This window comes from Homo sapiens, chromosome 1 (genome assembly GCF_000001405.40).
Source record: "Homo sapiens chromosome 1, GRCh38.p14 Primary Assembly".
In the NCBI taxonomy this organism is placed as follows: Eukaryota; Metazoa; Chordata; class Mammalia; order Primates; family Hominidae; genus Homo; species Homo sapiens.
Window position 1 is genome coordinate 246670493 of NC_000001.11, and position 23160 is coordinate 246693652.

Genomic DNA, 23160 nt, shown 5'->3' on the forward strand with positions numbered 1-23160 from the left:
AAAGCACGTTAAATCCGTACACCGTTTATGATTAAAAACTCAGCAAACTAGAACTGTAAGTGAACTTTTCAACTTGATAAAGTGCATTTATGAAAACTCACAGCTAATATTAAATACTTAATGGAGAAAGACCAAACAGTTTTCTTCCTATGATCGGGAATAAGGAAAGGGCACTTTTTTTTTTTTTTTGAGATTGAGTCTCACTGTGTCACCCAGGCTGGGGTGCAGTGGCGCCATCTCGGCTCACTGCAAGCTCTGCTTCCCAGGTTCAAGCGATTCTCCTGCCTCAGCCTCCTGAGTAGCTGGGACTACAGGCGCCCGCCTCCACGCCCAGCTAATTTTTGGATTTTTAGTAGAGATGGGGTTTCACCATATTGGCCAGGCTGGTCTCGAAGTCCTGACCTTGTGATCCACCCGCCTGGGCCTTCCAAAGTGCTGGGATTACAGGCGTGAGCCACTGCGCCTGGCCAGAAAGGGCAGTTATATTCAGCTTTGTACTGGAGGTCCTATAGCAAGAAAAAGAAATAAAAGCCATTCCAATTAGAAAAAAATAAAACTTTTTGCAAATGACATGATTGTTTATAAATTAAGAGAATCTGAAGGAATCTACAAAATGCTATTAGAACTAGTGAGTTTAGCAAGGCCACAGGATACAAGGTCAGTATACAGAAAACAGTGTTTGTGAATACTAGCAATGGATAATTGGAAAATGACATTTCAAATTCAGGAATAAATGAAATTTATTTCACTTACAATAGCTTATAAATTGGAATGCTTATACATTTAACAAAGTATGTGCAAAGCTGCACACTGAAATCTATAAAATATTACTGAAAGAAATGGAGAACTAAATAACTGAGAGATATAGTCTGTTCATGGATTGGAAGATGGAATATTGTTAAGATGTTAGTTCTCGCCAAATTGATCCATAGATCTAACACTATTCCAATCAAAATTTCAGTACTTTTTTAAATAAGTTAACAGGTTCTGTTCCCAGTTATTCTGGAGGCTAAGGCAGGAGGATCACTTGAGCCCAGGAGTTCAAGACTGGCCTACACTGCATAGTGAGATCCTGTCTAAGAAACGCAGAGAGAAATAAATTAACAGTTTAAAAATTTAAAATTTGGGGCCTGGCACGGTGGCTCACGCCTATAATCCCAGCACTTTGGGAGGCCAAGGCAGGCGGATCACGAGGTCGGGAGATCGAGACCATCCTGGCTAACACAGTGAAACCCCGTCTCTACTAAAGAAAATACAAAAAAAATAGCCGGGCGTGGTGGTGGGCGCCTGTAGTCCCAGCTACTTGGGAGGCTGAGGCAGGAGAATGGTGTGAACCCGGGAGGCGGAGCTTGCAGTGAGCCGAGATGGCGCCACTGCACACCAGCCTGGGCAACAGAGCGAGACTCTGTCTCAAAAAAAAAAAAAAAAATTAAAATTCAAAATTTGTGTGGAGATGCAAGTGACCTAGAAGATAGCCAGTGAAATTGTTAGAAAGAACAAAACCGGAGGACTTACACTTCCTGATTTTAAGACTGAATTAATGCCGCAGGCCAAGTATGGTGGATTATGCCTATAATCCAAGCACTTAGGGAGGCTGTGGCAGGAGGACCACTGGAGCCCAGGAGTACAAGGTTACAGTGAGCTATGATCGTGCTGCTGCACTCCAGGCTGGGTGACAGAAAGAGACCCTGTCTCAAAAGAAACAAAAAGAGACATGGAATCACCAATAATCAGTTGAGACGCTGAAATTTTTCTAAATTTTCAATGATAAAAAACAAATTTGAGTCAACCATGTTAGAGGAATTATCTTTTCATTATCCCAATAGAAAGTGATATTGGATAATCATTGTCTTACGAAAAAGTGATCAAAGAGTATGCAGCCAAAAAATGTATCATAGAGCTCTCAGTATTGATACTAATAAGTAATTTTTCTGGATTTTGTGATATTTATGGTTTTTTTCTTCAGCTTTTAAAAAATTGTAATTTGAGGCTGGGTGTGATACTCACACTTGTAATTCCAGCACTTTGGGAGGTTGAGGCAGGAAGATCACTTGAGCCCATGAGTTCCAGACTGCAGTGAACTATGATCACACCACTACACTCCAGCCTGTGTAACAGCAAGACCCTGTCTCAAAAGAAAAGGAAAGAAAAAAGGGAAGAAATAAAATGATTATCTCAATAGACACAGAAAAGGCCTTTAACATTCTTTCATGATTAAAAGCAAAACTCTCAGTAAACTAGGAATAGAAGAACTTCCTCAACATAATAAAAGGCATTTATGACAAACCTGCAGCTAACATCATAGTGTTAAAAAGACTAAAATCTTCACCCTTCAATCAGGAACAAGACAAGGATGCTTACCTTCCCACTGCTATTCAACATAGTCCTGGAAGTTCTAACCAGAGGAATTAGACAAGAAAAATGTAAAAGGCATCTGCTGTCATTTTAATGTGTCCCCCAAAAAGCTTGTGTTAGAAATTTCATCTCCAATATGGTAGTGCTGGGAGGTGTTTAGGTCTTAAGGGCCCCAACTTCATGAACGAATTAATGTCAATTATAAAAGGTCTTGAGTCTGCAAAATTGAACTCTTGCTCTCTTTCACCTTTTCTTTGCCCTTCCACCACGGGATGATGCAGCCAGAAGCCAGACGCCAGCCCCTCAATCGTGGACTTCCCAGGCTCCAGAACTACGAGCCAATAAATTTCTGTTCATTATAAAATACCCGGTTTGTGGTATACTGTCACAGCAGCACAAAACAGACTAAGATGGCATCCAAATTGGAGAGAAAGAAGTAACACTGTTCACAGATGACACGTTCCTATATACAGAAAGACCCAAAAATTCACAAGAAAGCTACTCTAGCTGGTAAATGAATTCAGCAAAGTTGCAGGGTACAAGATAAATACACAAAAAAACAGTTGTTTCTATATACCAGCAATTAACAATCCAAAAAAGATATTAAGAAGTCAATTCCAATTACCATCACATCTAAAAGAATAAAATACCTAGGAATAGATGTAGCCAAGGAGGTGAAAGACTTGTACATTAAAAACTACAAGGCTGGGTGTGGTGGCTCACGCGTGTAATCCCAGCACGTTGGGAGGCCAAGGTGGGCGGATCACCTGCGGTCGGGGGTTCAAGACCAGCCTGGCGAACACGGAGAAAGCCCATGTCTACTAAAAAAAAAAAAATACAAAATTAGCCCGGTGTGGTAGCATGTGCCTGTAGTCCCAGCTACTCAGGAGGCTGAGGCAGAAGAGTTGCTTGAACCTGGGAGGCAGAAGTTGCAGTGAGCCGAGATTGTGCCATTGCACTCCAGCCTGGACAACAAGAGCGAAACTCCGTCTCAAAAAAAAACAAAAACAAAACTACAAAACTTTTGTCAACAACTGATGTGATACCTTGGTTCTTGTCTTCTTGGTTTAAAAGAATTTAAACAAGAGACACACAACAAAAGAAGTGCAGTGTAATGTATTGCCAAAAAAAAAGAATATTTTGAAAGTTGGGTGCAGAATAGACGGTACACCCTGAGAGAGAGAAAATTCCGGGCGGGCTGCTCCTGAGGGCGAGACAGCAAAGACGGGCACTAGGGAGACTCCTTGACGAGAGTCTTCCTTGATTATTCATAAGGAGATGGGAAGAGGTGTTGCTAGGAAGCGTGTTCTGGGTGGTCTTCTGGGTGCACAGCAGCTGCACATGCTTGTTCGTACATCGCATGTCTCATTAGCATCTCAATCTCCACTCAGGAGTGTGTGTTTTACTATTATAATGGGCAAAGGGTCAGTTTGAGGGCAGATAAAATCAAAATGCACTTGCCCTCTAGAAGGGAAAGTCCCTACTGAAGATAGCTTTGCTTGAATGAGCTCAATTGCAGTGTGAATGCTGAGGCTTATTGTATTGATTGGGCGGTCACCAGGGCTGCTGCGTCCCAAGAACATGGCCACTTCCTTGACTGCCTTCCTCTCCTGCCTCACTCTGATGAAAGGAGACTAGAAGCAGTGGAAAGCTAACCCATGTTTATGCACAGAAAGACAGTATTGTTAAGATGTCAGTACCATCCAATGTACAGGTTCAATGTGATCCCTATCAAAATTCCAACAGCCTCTTAGCGCAAGAATGGAAAAGTCAGTTTTCAAATTTATATGGCACTACAAGAGGACCCCGATAGCCAAAACCACCTTGAAAAAGTTGGGGGACTCACACTTCCCAATTTCAAAACTTTCTGTAGAGATACATTAGCCAAATCAGTGTGGTACTGCTATAAGGATAGACATATAGACCAGTGGAATAGAAGTGACACTCCAGAAATAAACCCACACGTCTTTGGCCAGTTTATTTTTTGTGGGTATGACAAGTCTGATCAACGACCTAAATACAAGCTAAATCCATAAAACTCTGAAGGAAACATAAAAATGAATCTCCATAAATGTGGATTTGGCAATGTATTCTTAGCTATGACACCAAAAGCATGAATAATAATACACAGGTAAATTACATGTCATCAGGGTTTTTTAACGGTGCATTAAAGAACATTGTCAAGAAAATGAAAAGATGACCCAAAGAATGGGAGGGAGTACTTGCAAATTACATAATAATAAGGGTTATGAAGAACTTACTCAACAAAAAGGTAAACATATACAGAGTCATGAAGAGTATATGAAGAGCTTCCTCAACAAAAAGACAAACAAATAATGGGCAAAGGACTTAAATACAGATTTATTCCAAGAAGATACACAAATGGCCAATAACACATGACAAGATGCTCAACGTCATTGGTCATGAGGAAAATACAAATCCAAACCACAATGAGAATAATGAAATGATACATACTACAGCATGAGTGAATCTTGAAAAGATGTTACGCTATCTGAAATAAGCCAGATACAAATATCGTATGATTTAACTTACAGGAAATATCTATCATAGGCAAAATCAAAGAAACAAAATGTAAATTAGAGGTTACCAGAGGCTGGACGAACAAGGAAACGGGGAGTTACCACTTGTTAGAGTGTTTGTGTTTCAGATGATAAAAAATTTTAGAAAACAGATGGTGGTGATGGAGGGTTGCATGACGTTGAATGTACTTAATGCCATGGAGTTGTACACTGAAAAATGGTGAAAATGGCAAATTTTATGTTACGTGTATTTTAACACACACACAGACTGACACTACCAAGTGTTGGTGAGGACATGGAACAAATTTTCACAGACAGCTAGTGGGAGTATGAAATGATACGCCCACTTTGGAAAACAGTTTGGCAGTTACTTTTTTGGGGGCTGGAGGGTGGGGGTGGTGGAGTCTCACTCTGTCTCCCAGGCTGGAGTGAGTGGTACGATCTCGGCTCACTGCAATCTCTGCCTCCCGGGTTCAAGCGATTCTCTTGCCTCAGCCTCCCGAGTAGCTGGGATTACAGGCACCCACCACCATGCCTAGCTAATTTTTTGTATTTTTAGTAGAGATGGGGTTTCGCCAAGTTGGCCAGGGCTGGTCTTGAACTCCTGACCTCGGGTGATTTGCCTGCCTGAGCCTCCCATAGTGCTGGGATTACAGGCATGAGCCACCATGCCCAGCTGACAGTTTCTTTTTTTTTTTGAGACAGAGTCTCGCTCTGTCTCCTAGGCTGGAGTGCAGTGGTGCGATCTCGGCTCACTGCAAGCTCCGCTTCCCAGGTTCACCCTATTCTCCTGCCTCAGCCTCCTGAGTAGCTGGGACTACAGGCACGCGCCACCACGCCCAGTTAATTTTTTTGTATTTTTAGTACAGACGGGGTTTCACCGTGTTAGCCAGGATGGTCTCCATCTTCTGACCTCGTGATCTGCCCGCCTCCGCCTCCCAAAGTGCTGGGATTACAGCACCGGGCCCTGCCAGTTTCTTTCTTTCTTTTTTTGTTTTTTTTTTTGAGACAGAGTCTCGTTCTGTTGCCCAGGCTGGAGTGCAGTGGTACAGTCTTGGTTCACTGCAACCTCCGTCTCCCGGGTTCTCCTGCCTCAGCCTCGTGAGTAGCTGGGACTGCAGGTGCGTACCACCATGCCTGGCTAATTTTTGTATTTTTAGTAGAGACGGGGTTTCACCATGTTGGTCAGGCTGGTCTCGAACTCCTGACCTTGTGTTCTGCCCGCCTCGGCCTCCCAAAGTGCTGGGATTACAGGCTTGAGCCACCACGCCCGGCTGACAGTTTCTTATAAAGCTAAATATGCATCTATTGCATGACCCAGCAATTCCACAGCTAGATTTTTACCTAAGAGAGATGACAACGTGTCCACACAAATGTTCACAGCAGCTTTATCCATAACAGCCAAAAAATGGAAACACTCCAATATCCATCACCGATACAAGAGACTACTTACTATTCAGCAACAAAAAAGAACGATCTATGGACACATAAGTGACATAGATGGATCTCAAAGTAATTTTTCTGGGTGAAAGAAGCCAGAAGCAACAGAGTACACATCACATGTTTCTGTTTATCTAAAGTTTTAGGAAATGCAAACCAATCCATAGCAACAGAAACAGATCGGTGTTTCTCTGAGGGGCAAAGGATGGAGGGAGGATGAATATACATCTTTCAAAGCTCATTGAGTTACGTACTTTATTTTTTATTTTTCTTTTTTTCAGAATCACTTGGATTTGGAGAGCTGCGCACTTTAAATGAATGCAGTTATGTACATAAGTCATACCTCAATAAAGTTGTTAAAAATATGTTCAGGCCAGGCGCAGTGGCTCACGCCTGTAATCTCAGCACTTAGGGAGGCCGAGCCAGGTGGATCATCTGAGGTCAGGAGTTCCAGACCAGCCTGACAAACATAATGAAGCCCCATCTCTACTAAAAATACAGAAACAAATTAGCCAGGCATGGTGGTGCATGCCTGTAATCCCAGCTACTTGGGAGGCTGAGGCAGGAGAATCACTTGAACCCAGGAGGCGGAGGTTGCAGTGGGTCGAGATCGCACCATTGCACTCCAGCCTGGGCAACAAGAGCAAAATTCTGTCTCAAAAAAAAAAGTATATATACACATGTATATATATATATATACACACATATACTTGGAATATATATATTTGGACTATATATATATATTTGGAATTTTATATATGTGGAATATATATATGTTCAGTTTGTAGCCTTATGGGATCTCAAAGTAATATATGATGGCCAAGGGAACCCCTACTGTATGACAGAATATCTTATTTCCTTTCACTGTTTTTGCTTAGTTGGGTTAGAAAAAAAATTTTGGTGACCTCCAAGTACCAGCCCTCATTTGTGTAAGACCTAACTGCCCAACTAGCTACTTACATAGTGTTGCAATCCTCTTATTTTTCTTTATTTCTGTCTGAAGTCTCTCCACTGCTTTTAGATCCTTCTAGTTTCTTCTGAAATGTTGAGATGGCAATTTAAAACCATGCTTTTTTTCTACTTGATGTGGCAGTCCAAATTCCAAATCCAATCTAATTATAGACATTCTGTAAGGACAACCTGATCTCCCTCTGGCCGGAATGCATTGATCAAAAGTGAGGTTTCATGATTTTATTGCTTTTCTTAATTGCCTGGGATCAAGGGTCAGGAAGGAGAGATAGGCACTTAGGGAGTGGAGGCAGCTGACATCATCCACCAGAATGACGACAGCCCATAAATGGCTGGTTCTTATTTTCCAAGTACAAGGTTGAGGGTTGGCAAAATCTCTACTAAACAAAGAAGAAGAAACTCTTTGCCTAAGCTTCCAATCTGCATAGGAACTTGGTCCTAAAGGGACTGTAAATGTAAATAATCTTTTCCCCCCACCTCTCCTCCCCACCCCCACCCCCAACCATTTCTTTTTCTTTTTTTTTCTTAAGTGGGAAAACCTAAATTATTGGGATAGGAATAGTAGTTGAGCCAACTCTGGAGAGGAGCCTTTTGTCATATAGGGTGGTTTTCTGGTACGTAAGAGCCGGAGCGGGGAAGCAGTCCTGCAGTCCTAGGGCTGGAATCTTGATGATTCCACATCAACTAGGTGTGCAGCCTCCACTCTGGACTCCAGTCTCCTCATCTGTACAATCTCTTTTTTTTTTTTGAGACAGAGTCTTGCTCTGTTGCCCAGGCTGGAATACAGTGGTGCGATCTCGGCTCACTGCAACCTCCGCCTCCCGGGTTCAAACGATTCTCCTGCCTCAGCCTCCTAAATAGCTGGGATTACAGGCACGCGCCACCACGCCCGGCTAAGTTTTGTATTTTTAGTAGAGACGAGGTTTCACCATCTTGGTCAGGCTGGTCTCGAACTCCTGACCTTGTAATCCAGCCCCCTCGGCCTCCCAAAGTACTGGGAATACAGGCATGAGCCACTGCGCCCAGCCCCTCATCTGTACAATTTCTAAGATAACTCCAAACTTTAAAATCCTCTTATTCTTTGAATATCCAGAAGTGTTCGACTTTCCACCGCTGAGAAAAGACAGCCTGGATGTCTGTACTTGGTGGGTGGGTGAGTGTAATCACTGGGTTGGGTAGGATGGGAGTTCTTTGAAGCTGTACATGGGGGTCAGAGGTGGAAGAAATGAAACGATCTGTAGAATTTGAAGCACTCGCTGTGCCCATAGCCCCCTTGTAAAGAAGAGCCTGCCACAGATCGCTGCTTCTCAATAAGGTTTGATGCTTTTCCTTACATTATCCTGCAAACCTAGTCACAGGTGATTAGACTGGGGCACTGGGGCCTTGGCCTGATGCACGCCTTGAAGCTTGAACCTGAAGAAGGACAGTGACTTGGATGAGAACGGGTTCTTTGGGGGCAGTTTTTGTCTCTGGAACAACATAGAATCAGGAACTTTTGTGGAAGTATCTGCCCAGGCAGGTCATGTCTCAGATGATTTCGGTTTGGAGCACGGAGTCTGTATCTGGCCGTGGCAGTCAGAAGAAGCAGACGCTGGGGCCGTTGTCAGGGAAACAGCATAAGGCTGAAGAGTCTAGAAGCAGCAGAACCACTAGACAGCCAGAAAGGCTCGCTCTTGAGAGCCACCAAGAGCTAGAACCCAAACAACGTTCCAGTTCTGGAGGACCTGGCCCCGGGAGCATACTACCCCTTGTTATATGTGCTCCTTACACAGGCAACCTGGGAAAGAGTCTAGTTCCTGCCCCTGGAGACCAGCTGCAGCACAGATGTTGTGTGTAAGCCTTGTCTGGCTCTTTAAAGTTGTGTTATTTGGGGATTATTGGGCAGTGTTAATTTGCTCTGTTGTATCAGAGATGAGGCTGGGCTCCGAGCAGTTTCAGTGACTTACTTGAGACCAAGAGCAGCACAGCTGACGGAGGATTTTCCACTTCAAATTTGAGAAGTTGAAAATACCTGTAGGGCATTTCTCCTGGGATCACCACTGCATCCTTCTCCTCCTGCTCTTTTGTGACCTAGAACTTTGTGCCTTTGATCACTGTTACTCTGGGTCTTACACATGGAAAAAGACAACAGAGGCAGTTACTGTGTATCTGCAGGCCACGGGCAGTGAGGCAGTTAGCATGGAGTTGTCCTGTGTTTGTGTGAGTTTCTCTGGGGGATCCTGGTAAGAAGGCAGAGGGTTTCCCTGGCAGACCTGTGTCTGTTCTGTGCCTAGGGCTGCCAGATGAAATACAGGATGCTCAGGGATTGCACCAGACATTCTTGGACTAAAAATAATTTGTTTATCTTAAATGCAAACTTAATTGGGCATCCTATATTTTTTGTCTGCTAAGTCTGGCAATTCTGTCAGTGCCACAGTGTGTTATAGAAGCTGAAGACCACAGGAGACAGGGTCATCAGGGCCAGAGGAGCAGAGGGGATCCGTCTCCAGAAGCAGCCTTCAGCCCCCATCGTAGTTCCTAAGCAGCCCAGGGTCTTGAGTCTGCAAACAGAAGACGGTATCGGCACAGCCATGACAGCAGTACGTCTGCAAAGGGCAGGATGTGATCACAATGCGTTGGCATTTGTGGAACAAGACTCTGAGTCTGCAGAATTTAAACCGTTTTTAATCTTTCACAAAAGTGGAAATGTAGTCATAGCTTAGAATGTGATGAAAAAAAACCCCAAAAACTGAGTACTCTACCTGAAGTGAAAAACCTTCTGAACGTGGCTGTGTGTGCTGTTTGTCCTATAGTGGCAGTCACGGTGGCCCAAATTCACAGAATTGTGTGTGTCACTCCTAGTTTGCAGATAGCACCAGCTAAAAACACAGTTAGGAGATATGGCCTATAATTGCCATTTGTTCTGGCTCTTAGATCATCTTATTTTTATTCCGATCTTGTTCCAGAGATGAGATTGCTGGCTGCACCCAGCCGACACTCAATGATTCACTGTGAAAAAAGATGGCGTTTTCGCTTGCCCTGTTCCTAGGCTTAGCTTCCATTGCCTCTGCTTGTCAGCAACAGCTGTTGGCCCCTCTGCCCTTGCGGGACCAGCTCCTCTGGATGAGCGCTTTCGTCTTTGTCCGACCCTCTTTCAGGACAGCAACTCCCACTTGGTGTTAAACATCATTGCTCATAAATAGAAGTGCATTTGGATTAGCTGTGGCCAAGGTCCATCTGGTCTCTTTCCTTCTGCATAGAGTGATGAATTGGCTAAAGGACAAGAAGGGAAGGGTAGAGCAGCTGGTGAGGCGGTCACCACAGAACCAAGCCTTGTCTGTGTGCGATGCAGGTTTCCTTGTGCAGAATGAGCTTGAGTGACCCGGGAGGCACCCTCCCCTACAGCCCCTTGGCCATTGTGGGAAGGAAAAGCAGATTCTAATACAGGACACAGCAAACATCATGTTTGTCTTCATGTCTGCAAAGCATGCTGGATTTGTCCAAGGAAAAAGCAAGTAAAAATAGAGAAAAAGGAAATGAGCACTCATTTTAGAAATAATGCTTTTTTTTTTTTTTTTTTGAGACGGGGTTGCCCAGGTCTGAGTGCAGTAGCGTGACCACAGCTCACTGCTGTCTCCATCTCCCACTGCACCCAGTGAGACAATGGCTTTTTTTTTTTTTTGAGACAGTCTCACTCTGTTGCCCAGGCTGGAGTGCAGTGGTGTGATCTTGGCTCACTGAAACCTCTGCCTCCTGGGTTCAAGTGATTCTCCTGCCTCAGCCTCCCGAGTAGCTGGGATTACAGGCATGTGCCACCACACCCAGCTAATATTTGTATTTTTAGTAAAGACAGGGTTTCACCATGTTGGCCAGGCTGCTGTCTCAAACTCCTGACCTCAAGTGATCTGCCCGCCTGGACTTCCCAAAGTGCTGGGATTACAGGTGTGAGCCACCGTGCCCAGCCGAGATAATGTATATTGATGAGTATGTACACATGTGTGTATTTTTTCTTTTAGCTAGTGACGAGTCTGGCAGGCCATAAACACTTAAGGGATCAATAATTTAATAATAAACACAAATGGAATTGTTGCAGGCATAAAAGAACAAAAATCTGCAAATGGAGGCCTGGGAGAGGGCAGGCTCTGGGGGAGATGGGAGCCAGCTGTCAGTAAAAGCCTTCACCAACAGGCTTTTGCTCTGTGGCTGCAGTTCCCTTTCCCAGCAGCCCCGAGGTGGGTCTCCAGGGAGCCCTCCACAGCAGCCCTTCTGTGACCTCATGCGCTGATGGTTGTCTCAGCTACAGGAGTGGAAGGCGCAGCCAAGCAGCCGCTGGTATTTCTGTGTTGCATATGGGCTGGGGTCCCTCCTGTCCTTCTCTCCTACACGATCCCAGATCTGATTTCTAATGGTGTTGTATTTCCTCCCTAAATCATTTTTCAATAGTATTTTTGTTCTTCTGTGGGATACAGAAGAACTTTTTTTTCCTATTGCAATAAGGACAAGTAAACAAGTCAGAAGCCTCAGAAGACCTCAAGAGAGAAATCACAGCCTTCAATTCCTGGTCCCTTTCTGAAACCTCAGCTCTTGATTCACTTAATTTCAAGGAGAATTGTTTTATGACTACGCCAAGCTGACCCAAAGACCCCTGGGAAGCACGTGGCCCATCAGAGGGAAGGGCTAGGCCCTGGGGCTGGAAAGGATGCAGAGCCTGTTTTCAACAATTACGTCTACATTTTCCAAGAGATTAAACCGATTGGAAGCCAAGCATTGGAGAAGAGATCTTTTGTCTTCCTTGGCAACATTTCTGAAATCTACAGATAGGGATGAGGAAGTGAGGCACATTTTTCATCTGTTCCAACAAACTGCCAATGGAATGGCTGACATGCCATTTTAGTGTATGTCATCTCTCCCGTGTTCCGTCATCACTGAGGGTCAGCTGGGCCCTGCCCTTGAATACAGCACAGGGCTGGTGTCATGGAGCCGGCCTTCCTTACACTAATGAACCGCAGGAGCCTCCCCTTGTCCCTTGCCTGGGGGGAACTAATGGCATTGCAGGGCAAAGGCTCAGCAGGGACCCTGTAGATAGAGGATAGATCGGCACCCAGGCGTCTTACAGGGTGGACCCCATGCTGGCAGGGTGGGAAGCCAGAGAAAAGAGGCTTGGAAGAAGCAAAGGGAACTCTCAAGAGGGTGCAGAGATGAACGTGGCTTGCACCTGGAGAATTCCCAGCCAATGTGAGCTTGACGCCCCTCTCCTTTCCACCAATCAGATGGCACTACCACCTCCTCCTAATTCCTCTACCAATGAAAACTAGGTTCCTTTACCTTATCCACCAATCAGGGCTTTGGACAAAGAATAATCTTATCAAACCCCACATGGATTCACACGCATCTGGTAGCTTGGTTGTTGGTAAGTCTCTGCATGGCAAGCTGGGTCTCCAAGTCTTTATTGTTATGCTTCTATCGTTTGGAGGCAGAAGGGGAGATGGGAGAGCTAAAAGCCCAGGTCCCTTTCTTCCCTGAAAACCCTGAAAAAAGTTTCTGCCTATGTGAAAAAGAAGGGGTTTAGTGGACAGTCATCATAAGCCAACAGTGATATGTGGGCGTCATGCTAATGCCGTGGCTTAGGCTGCACTGATACACATTTATCAAACCAATACATTGCCAACGGAATGGCTGACACGCCGCTTTAATGTATGTCATCTCTGTGTTCGGTGAGCGCAGTGATGTCCTTCAAGGAAGGACTTGTTGCCTTGGCTGCTGCGCTGCCATGAGCGGGGCTCTGACTATGGTGAGATTAGCTGGTGACCTCGCACCCGTCATACCAGTTGGGCTGTAATGACTCCTAGAGACAGTCGCTCAAGATAGCTCTGTGTGTTTGTTTCATAAATAAGCTCCATGGCAAATTCGCATTGTTTTTCCCCAAATAAGCAATTCCGAAGGCTGGGCCTTCACTGAGAGCTTGCATCTCTGCATAAACTGCCTCTGGGCTTTGGGACCTGCTTTAGCTTCCAGGAGCTGCTCTTCAAGACCACATTCCTCCCCAGAGCAGCCCTGTCAACATCCAGGGACAGATGAAAGCCCGAGTATGAAGACCTGACCATCTCCCCCGAAATCAGGAAACTCTGAAGAGCATTCTAGCTCCAAAGATTCCTGTGGGTTGGCTGGGGCTGTCCTTGGACCTGTAGTACAGCCCAGGTCCTCCCACTGCCCACACCCGCTCTTGCCTCCTCTCTTACACAGGTGTTGGTCTGAGGGCACTTGTACAGGCTAAACTCCATCTGAGTCCGCTTCCCAGGAAAACCAGCCTGCAGGGAAACCATGCCAGTTCTCTGTGCTACTTGCATCTCCCTTGCAGAGCTGCCTTCAGAATCTGGACAAAGATTTTGGTCAATTTATAAAGTTTATTTTATTTATTTATTTATTTTTTGAAATGGAATCTCACTCTGTCGCCCAGGCTGGAGTACAGTGACGCGATCTTGGCTCTCTGCAGCCTGCGCCTCCAGAGTTCAGGTGATTCTCGTGCCTCAGCTTCCCCAGTAGCTGGCACTACAGGCACGTGCCACCACACCCAGCTAATTTTTCTTCTTTTTGTATTTTTAGTAGGGATGGGGTTTCACCATGTTGGCCAGGCTGGTCTCTAACTCCTGACCTCAAGTGACCTGCCCGCTTTGGCCTCCCAAAGTGCTGGGATTACAGGCGTGAGCCACCACGCCCAGCCTAATTTATAAAGTTTCTGTTTGTCACAGCTGGCTGAAATGTGATAGACATCTTCTGAAGGTGAGGTCATCTTCTAAGGAAGATGTTCAAAGGAAAACTGACTATTGGAAAGATAAGGGATGGGTGAGGGGTGAAATCAGGAATCTTGCGGGCAGATGGACGAGATGCCCTCTGTCAGACCTCTGAGGCCAAGCTAAGCCGTCATATCCCCTGTGACCCTCACGTATACATCCAGATGGCCTGAAGCAACTGAAGATCCACAGAATAAGTGAAAATAGCCACTTATTAGTTCCTGCCTCAACTGATGACATTCCACCATTGTGACTTGTTCCTGCCCCACCCTAACTGATCAATTGACTTTGTGACATTCCTTCTCCTGGACAATGAATCTCAGGAGCTCCCCACCAGCACCTTGTGACCCCCGCCCCTGCCCGCAAGAGAACACCCCCTTTCACTGTAATTTTCCACGACCTGCCCGAATCCTATAAAACTGCCTCACCCCGATCTCCCTTTGCTGACTCCTTTTACGGACTCAGTCTGCCTGCATCCAGGTGATTAAAAGCTTTATTGCTCACACGAAGCCTGTTTGGTGGTCTCTTCTCAAGGACGCGCATGACACCCTCCAGGGTCTAATCATACATCAAGATCTTAATATCCCAAGATTAACTGTACCCCAGATATCTAGTACCCTTCAGCATACATCCATCCCAGTGTTCTAAAATATCATGTTTATAATTTAACTACATAAGACAGGGTTGGCCAAGGTTTTTTTGTTTGTTTGTTTTTTGGTTTTTGTTTTCTTTTTCTTTTTTTTTTTTTTTTTTTTTTGAGATAGGGCCTCACTCTGTCACCCAGGCTGGAGTGTGGTGGTGCCATCATAGCTCACTACAGCCTCAACCTCCTGGGCTCCAGCAATCCTCCCGCCTCAGCCTCCTGAGTAGCTGTTATTACAGGCATGCATCACCATGCCTGGTTAATTTTTATATTTTTTGCAGAGACAGGGTTTCACCATGTTGCCCAGGCTAGTCTCAAACTCCTGGGCTCAAGTGATCCACCCACCTCAGCCTCCCAAAATAAATAAAAAAAAAAAAAAAGAAGAAAAAGAAAAGGAACAATCATACAGTTATAGAATTGTAACTGCTAAAGAAGCAAGCTAGTAGCCTGTTAAAATAATACTGCCTTCCTAAATCTAGCAGCTATGAATATATCCATTCTATTATATCCACTCTACATTAAGTAATCTAGGTAAGCTTAACATTGGCCAGAAGTAGAGCACACACGTGTGTATATTCACACATAATCTATGTTCACATACCCAAGAGACAAGGAGAGTTACTAGAATTAATAGGATAACTGTATTTTCTGGGAATAGTATTTAATTTAAGTATCCCCAGAAAATACAGTTTTTTTTTAAAAGACTGCTATGATGGCTTTGCCTCTTTTATTTACTTGATATTCATTTATTCATCCATTCAAACAATATTCTTTTTTGTTTTTTTTTTTTTTTCCTTTTTTTTGAGACAGAGTCTCGCCCTGTTGCCCAGGCTGGAGTGCAGCGGCACAATCTGGGCTCACTGCAAGCTCCGCCTCCCGGATTCATGCCATTCTTCTGCCTCAGCCTCCCAAGTAGCTGGGACTACAGGCGCCTGCCACCACGCCTGGCTAATTTTTTGTATTTTTAGTGGAAATGGGGTTTCACCGTGTTAGCCAGGATGGTCTCGATCTCCTGACCTCGTGATCCGCCCATCTCGGCCTCCCAAAGTGCTGGGATTACAGGCATGAGCCACCGCGCCCTGCCGAAACAATATTCATTGGTTTCCAGTTACATAAGAAGTGTTAAGTGTTGCAGTCATTGATTTGGGAAGAATGTGTCCTTGTCCAAGTCACAACCCCACCTCCTAAAGAGGAAGCATTTTGGTAAGACATGTAAGCTGTGCTGCAGTAATGCTGATGCCACAAAGCATGGGCGCCATCATCCCAAGGAGTAAGCTCATGCCCAGCTCCATCTTGGGCCAGCTATGTGACCTTGGACAAGTCACTCAACCTCTCTAAGCTCCATTTCCTCATGTGTTGTCAGGCCTCTGAGCCCAAGCTAAGCCATCGTATCCCCTGTGACCTGCATGTACACATCCAGATGGCCTGAAGCAACTGAAGATCCACAAAAGCAGTGAAAATAGCCTTAACTGACGACATCCCACCATTGTGATTTGTTCCTGCCCCACCCTAACTAATACGATATATTCTCCCCCGCCCTTGACAATGTATTTTGTACGCCCATCCCAAACCTATACGAACTAATGATAATCCCACCATCCTTTGCTGACTCCTTTTTCAGACTCAGCCCACCTGCACCCCGGTGAAATAAACAGCCTTGTTGCTCACACAAAGCCTGTTTGCTAGTATGAGATGTGGACGATAGTCACGACATTTACCTTATTTGGTTGGCATCACCATGTGGTCGCTTGTGGAAGCTTTTGCCCCTATCTTCATAACTGTTACGGGCATTCCCCAAAGCCACCCTGAATAAGTATGCAATCTAAGTCCAAGCACCATGTTTTCTTGGCACTTGCATCTCCCCCGTCCAATTAGACTGCAGCCCTTAAGCCCCTTGTGTATAGAACTCTGACTGCTGACTTCTCAGAGCAGTGGCTGAGGCTCTGCACATGTGTGAGCTCCAGGCGCCACACCGCCCCCGATGGACAGTCCCCTGAAGGAAATGAACCCTCAGTGGTCGGAAGCACCATTGCCCCTCTGAGTCCCTGACTCCGGCTCAGGGGACATTTCCCGCCAGTGTGATGGCGACTGGGTGTTTGCAGCCTGACCTGTCTACTCGTGGGAGTAGAAGACCCCTCAGAAGCAGAGCGAGCGGCCGAGCGTGGTGGCTCACGCCTGTAATTCCAGCACTTTGGGAGGCCAAGGCAGGCAGATCCCGAGGTCAGGAGTTCAAGACCAGCCTGGTCAATATGGTGAAACCCCGTCTTTACTAAAAATACAAAAATTAGCTGAGCATGGTGGCGGGCACCTGTAATCCCATCTACTCAGGAAGCTGAGCCAGAAGAATCGTTTGAACCCAGGAGACAGAGGCTACAGTGAGCCGAGATCACGCCACTGCACCCCAGCCTGGGAGACAGAGTGGGACTCCATCTCAAAAAAAAAAAAAAAAAAAAAGTAGAGTGAGCCCCGTTGAGGGCTGTGTGGTGAGGGAACAACTTTGGCCTGCTACAAAAAAGCAGGACAGAGACTGCAGAATCAAACTTTTAACTTAAAACTTCAGATTTAAACAACTTTGGAGGAATACATAAGCAAAACATCTCCCTCCTTTACCACAGAAATGTTTTACATATCCCTGTGGCCTCAATTAGTGTTTTTTCTTTTTTTACATTTGAGATATAATTCATATACCATAAAATTCAAAAACTTAGTGAACAATTCTGTGGTTTTTAGTATATTCATGTAACCTGTGTATAAAGTTTCTTCCCCATAGTTATAGTATGTACACTTTTTTTTTTTTTGGCTATTTTCTTCACTTTGCCTAATTTCATCCTCATATTCCTTTTTTCTTTTTTTAAGAGAGGGTCTCACTCTGTTGCCCAGGCTGAAGAGCAGTGGTGAGATCACAGCTCACTGCTGCCTCAGTCTCCTGGGCTGAGGCAATCCCCCCACCTCAGCCTCTTGAGTAGCTGGGACTATAGGCGCATGCCACTATGCCTGGCTCATTTTTGTAGTTTTTGTAAAGACAGGTTTCTCCATGTTTCCCAGGCTGGTCTCAAACTCCTGGGCTCAAGCCATTCGCCCGCCTTAGCCTCCCAAAGCGCTGGGATGACAGATGTGAGCCACTGAGCCTGGCTGTAACCTTTCTTTATTCATTAGACATTTGGGTTTTCTACCTTTCTCTCTATAATAAATGAATACTACTGTAAATATTATTGTACAGATAGACCTTTATTTTGAACTATTATTATTATTATGATTTTAGACACAGAGTCTTGTTCTGTTGCCCAGGTTGGAGGGCAGTGGTGTGATCATAGCTCACTGCAGCCTAAAACTCTTGGACTCAGGTGATTCTCCCACCTCAGCCTACCAAGTAGCTGGGACCATAGCTGCACGCCCCCACGTCTGGCTAATTTTTTAAAATTTTTGTAGAGACAGGGTCTCCCTATGTTGTTGCTCAGGCTGATCTCAAACTCCTGGGCTCAAGCGACCCTTCCACCTCCGCCTCTCCAATTGCTGGGATTACAGGCGTGAGCCACTGCACCTGACCTTGAACTTTTTACTTAGAAATACATTCAGAGGTTTTTGGATTACTGAATAAGGGGTAAGATTGTTTTAAGGCTCTTGTTTTATTATTTTCCTTCAAAAAGACGGAACCCCTGTAATAAACTGGTGACACCAGTGATGTTTACACGTCTGTATCCAATACTTGACCAGCACTGGGTTCATTATCACCTCCATTTATGCCGGTAGGTGTAAAATGGTACATGATATAATTTTAAATTTAATTTCTTTAATAACTGGAGAGGAAGCAAGCCTTCCTACCCTGTGATTTTAAGCATCTAAAAGGAAGCTTCATGTGGTAGACTTGCTCTCATCATATCACACTGCTAAACAAGGATCTACAGCGCCTAATTCTGTTAGATTCAAATCTAAACATAACACATAGTTGATGCTAAATGTCTATTTCATTGCTTTATGGCTTCTAAAATCTGAATATTTCCCCAACGGAGAGTAATCTGAGGTATTATGCATCATATATATATATATACATTTTTTTTGCAACAATGTCTTGCTCTGTTGCCCAGGCCCTGGCGTGCAGTGGCACTACCATAGCTCACTGCAGCCTCCATCTCCTGGGCTGAAGCTGTCCTCTTGCCTCAGCCTCTCAAGTAGCTGGGACTACAGGCATGTACCACCAGGACTGGCAATTTTCTTAATTTTTATTTTTCATAGAGACATCTCACTATGTTGCCCAGGCTGGTCTCTAACTCCTGGGTGCAAGTGATTCTCCTGCATGGCCTCCCAAAGTGCTGGGATTACAGGCGTGAGCTGCCACGCCCAGACCAGTTTTTCCATCTTGGACTCTCAGCTCCAAATTCCCCCTTTTGGACTACTCTGTGAAAATGGATCTGGACCTTTAAATATTTTTTTCCCGGGCTAGCTAGCACTGAAATCTTGCCAGTAGAGGGTGATAGAGAGACACGGGAGAAGGAGAAGAGGTTGACTTGCCTCTGGGTTCCAGGGTGCTCACTGGGTGGTTCCCCCAGTGCCCCGCTCCTACAGTGACTGCAGCCAGCAGCACCCAGGAGACGGAACCTCCCCGCCCAGCCCGGCGCCCGCCAGCCCTGGTGCCGTTTTTATAGCAGCATGCCTCTAGCAATCAAGACACCTGGCACCTCGGAGGGCCGACTTCCAGAAGGATTTGCCACAGGGCACCACAACAACTTCTCTGCCATTCAGAGTCACAGCTGCACAGGTCTGGATCTCCGCCTGGGGCCGGCGTGGGGGCTCTCTCAGTCCTGGGGCTGGTTCACTGGAGTTTTCTTTCTTTGTTACTAGCCAGCCCCTCATGGCTGTAATCCCTTGCTCTAGTAAATAATTCTTTATATTGAATTTTCTCTGTTCAAATTACTACGTGATTTCTCTCTCCGGACTGGACTCAGACTGATACAAGTATGGACCCCCTAGAAGGAACAACAAATGGAGCTGCCGTCTATATACACACGTGAGATGGAATTCGTGTTTTAGATCCTTTCCAACACCTGGCTGTCTCAGAGGGCGGAGGACACGGGTCCCACCTCACACGTGGCAGCCGGCCCTGGCGCAGGCACCTGTTCCCAGCTGAGGCAATCAGAACCCACCTGGGATTTTTTTTCATCCTCGAAGCCAACTTCTCTCCCTTAAACTAAAGCAGAAAGAGTGTGAGGATGTGACTTCAGAACTGCCTGCTCCATCCCTTGCCCAGGGGGAGGCTTAGAGTCTGATGGGGCTGGGCACCGTGGCTCATGCCTATAATCCTAGCACTTTGGGAGGCTGAGGCGGGCAGATTGCTTGAGCCCAGGTATTTGAGACCACCCTGGGCAACATGGTGAAGTCCTGTCTCTACAAAATATATGAAAAATTAGCCAAGCGTGGTAGTGCGTGCCTGTAGTCCCAGCTTCTCAGGAGGTTGAGGTGGACGGATGGCTTGAGCCCGAGAGGCGGAGGTTGCAGTGAGCATGCCGTGGCACTCCAGCCTGGGCGACAGAGCAAGAGTGTGATGGACTCGAAGATGAGAGATGGCAAAACAGAGAGAGACTCCTAATGTCATCTCCCACCCTTTTAATGAGACAGGATCTGCCTCTGTCACCCAAGCTGGAGTGCAGTGGCACAATCACAGCTCACTGCAGCCTCAACCTCCTGGGTCAAGTGATCCTCCTGCCTCAGCCTCCCAAGTAGCTGGGACTACAGGCATGTGCCACCATGCCTAGCTAATTTTTTAAATTTTTTTAGAGATGGGGGTCTCACTGTCACTCAGACTGGAGTGCAGTGGTGTGATCATAGTTTACTGCAACCTCAACTTCCTGGACTCAAGTGATCCTCCCACCTCAGCCTCCTGAGTAGCTGGGACTATAGGCATGTACCACCGCACCTGGCTTATTTTTTAATTTTTGGTGGAGAAGGAGTCTCCCTTTGTTACCCAGGCTGGTCTCCAACTCCTGGGCTCAAGTGATCCTCCTGCCTCAGCCTCCCAAAGTGCTGGAATTACAGGCATGAGCCACCACGCCCAGCCCAAGGCCGTCTTTGTGTTTCCAAATATTTTCAGACCAGTTTCGGTCTTTCCCCACCTATATTGTGGGGGAAAAAAAAGTAAAATGAAAAAATAAATTTTAAAATTAGAATTAAATGAAAAAACTAAAAAGTAAAAAAAGGGTATTCAATATCACATTGATAATTTACTCAATAATGAATCTTTTTATTTTTTCTTACCTAACCTAGGTCGATTTAGGTCTCTGTCTCTGGCAACTGAAAAGAGACCCAACAAAACATCTTACAGAGCACCAGGGCCAATTCTTGATGCGTCGTTAGATTCTGTGTAGCCAGAAAGCAGAAACAGAAACATATCCAAGCCAGGCGGAGGAAAAACTTTGAGGCCTGTTTATCCAGGTTCAAGACAATTTCTATTTAAAAAAAAAAAAAAGAAAAAAAGAGAGAAAAAAAAAGCTCATAACAGAATAAGTTCAGCTTCTCCTGAGTGTCAGAGCTAAGATCTAACGCCTCTGCTGGTTTCCATGACAACCACCAGCAGCTACAATCATGCCGAACCAAGAACCAGAGGATTCAGTAACTTTACCTTGATTCTGTGGCCAGATTATTGCCAATTTTAAAAGGAAATGCATAGTGAGCCCCTGTCTCTGTTGTGTCTTCAGTTGTCCCTTGAAATCTGGATATCTTGACAAGAGGCCAGGGCCTATCCTATCTCATCTCCCCAAGCTAGTGTCCTTCCCAGATGAATTTCTTCTGGCGCTGGTGAGATTACTTGGTGACCTAGTTCCGACTACACAAGTTATGCTGTCGTGATTGCTGGGGGTAATTGCTCAAAATAGCTCTCTGATTTGTTTCATAAACAGGCTCTGTGGCAGGCTCATGTCGTTTTTTCCCCAAAGAAGAGATTCCAGAGACGAGGCCTTCACTGAGAGCTTGCTCCTCTACCTCCTGTGGGTTTCAGGGCTGGGACGGGGGACACAGAGAATCTGTCTCTCGCGAATGCCAAGTTGAGGTCCTAGCCTGGCTAGGAACTCTTGCATTCCCCTTGCCTCGCTGTAGCCTCCCCTGGGAACAGACCTTCCAGGAGGGTCGCACCGAGTGATGAGACTGTTGCATGAGGCTCTGCAGTGCTTGGACACAGAACTGCACTGCGGCCTTCCAGATGCTCAGCTGGAAAACCCCTGAGAACCTGAGGCTTTTCTACAGCACATTAGAGCTTATGACTGGAGAGTGTCTACCGCCTGAGGGCAGGGATGAGATTTTACCTATCCTATTCACCTGCTTAGGTGCCCACTTCATCCTAGACTCCCTTCTTTTCCCTCCCTCCCTTCCTCCCTCCCTCCCTCCCTCCCTTCCTCCCTCCCTCCCTTCCTTCCTCCTTCCCTCCCTCCCTCCCTTCCTTCCTCCCTCCCTCCCTCCCTCCCTCCCTTCCTCCCTCCCTCCCTCCCTTACTCCCTCCCTCCCTCCCTCCCTCCCTTACTCCCTCCCTCCCTCCCTCCCTTCCTCCCTCCTTCCCTCCCTCCCTCCCTCCCTTCCTTCCTTCTCTTTCTTGCTTGCTTGTTTGCTTGCTTGCTTGCTTCAGGGTCTCACTCTGTCACTCAGGATGGAGTACAATGGTGCAAACACAGCTCACTGCAACCTCGGCCTCCTGGGCTCAGGTGATCCTCCTACCTCAGCCTCCCAAGTAGCTGGGATTACAGGTGTGTGCCACCAACACTTGGCTAATTTTTTCTATATTTTGTAGAGATGAGGTCTCACTATGTTGCCCAGCTGGTTTCAGACTCCTGGGCTCAAACAATCCTTCCTCCTTGGCCTTCCAAAGTGTTAGATTACAGGTGTGAGCCACCTTGCCCAGCCTTTGATACACTTCTTGATTGAAGGAAGAGAGCCAACTTTTATTGAGTACCTATTATGTGCCTGGTGCTTGCATGCATGTCATTACTTTGGAGGCAGTATTGCAGAGTGCTCACAGGCAAGAACTCCAGTATCAGAAAGACCTGGACTTAAATCTCAGTTCTCCCACTTACAGTACTAGCTGTGGAAACTTCACTTGTTACTTAACTTTCCTGAGCCTCAGTTTTCTCATCTGTAAAGTGGGAATAATAATAAATCACCTCGTCAGGTTGTTATGAAGATTAAATGAGATCATGTGTATAAAGCACACAGTAAACATTCAATAAAGTTAGCTATTATTATTCCAGTTATTAGCAGCCACAAGATATAGGACATTGTTATACAGGAAGTTTAAATCTTGAAAAGGAAAAGTTCTAGAATGTATAAGCCTGAATATAGCATCTCCTCAAATACTGTTTGGATCAGTGAAAATGCTATTGCCCATGGTGACTCACACCTGTAATCCCAGCACTTTGGGAGGCCGAGGTGAAAGGATCACTTGAGGCCAGGAATTGGAGACAAG

General features: G+C 45.7%; 1 long non-coding RNA gene across 4 annotated transcripts, besides 1 other annotated feature; it reads left to right on the top strand.

The window, feature by feature from the left end:
• Positions 1 to 8260: 8260 nt before the first annotated feature.
• LOC102724382 (uncharacterized) lies at positions 8261 to 22097 on the top strand. 4 transcript variants are annotated; one of them, XR_007067002.1, is made up of 4 exons: positions 19206 to 19473; positions 19661 to 19722; positions 20976 to 21506; positions 21608 to 22097. It is a non-coding gene; the product is annotated as an uncharacterized LOC102724382 (long non-coding RNA). The 4 variants fall into 4 exon arrangements; XR_949364.3 differs by lacking the exon at positions 19206 to 19473 and adding an exon at positions 8261 to 12693 and having other exon boundaries at positions 20976 to 22037; XR_001738570.3 differs by having other exon boundaries at positions 19227 to 19722; positions 21608 to 22037.
• Positions 19342 to 19862: an enhancer, noted in NCBI's record as "H3K27ac-H3K4me1 hESC enhancer chr1:246853136-246853656 (GRCh37/hg19 assembly coordinates)". NCBI's record gives its function as "activates a minimal SCP1, AML or CMV promoter by ChIP-STARR-seq in naive H9 embryonic stem cells {active_cell/tissue: H9 hESC(naive)}" and the evidence as "EXISTENCE:reporter gene assay evidence [ECO:0000049][PMID:30033119]".
• Positions 22098 to 23160: the final 1063 nt, after the last annotated feature.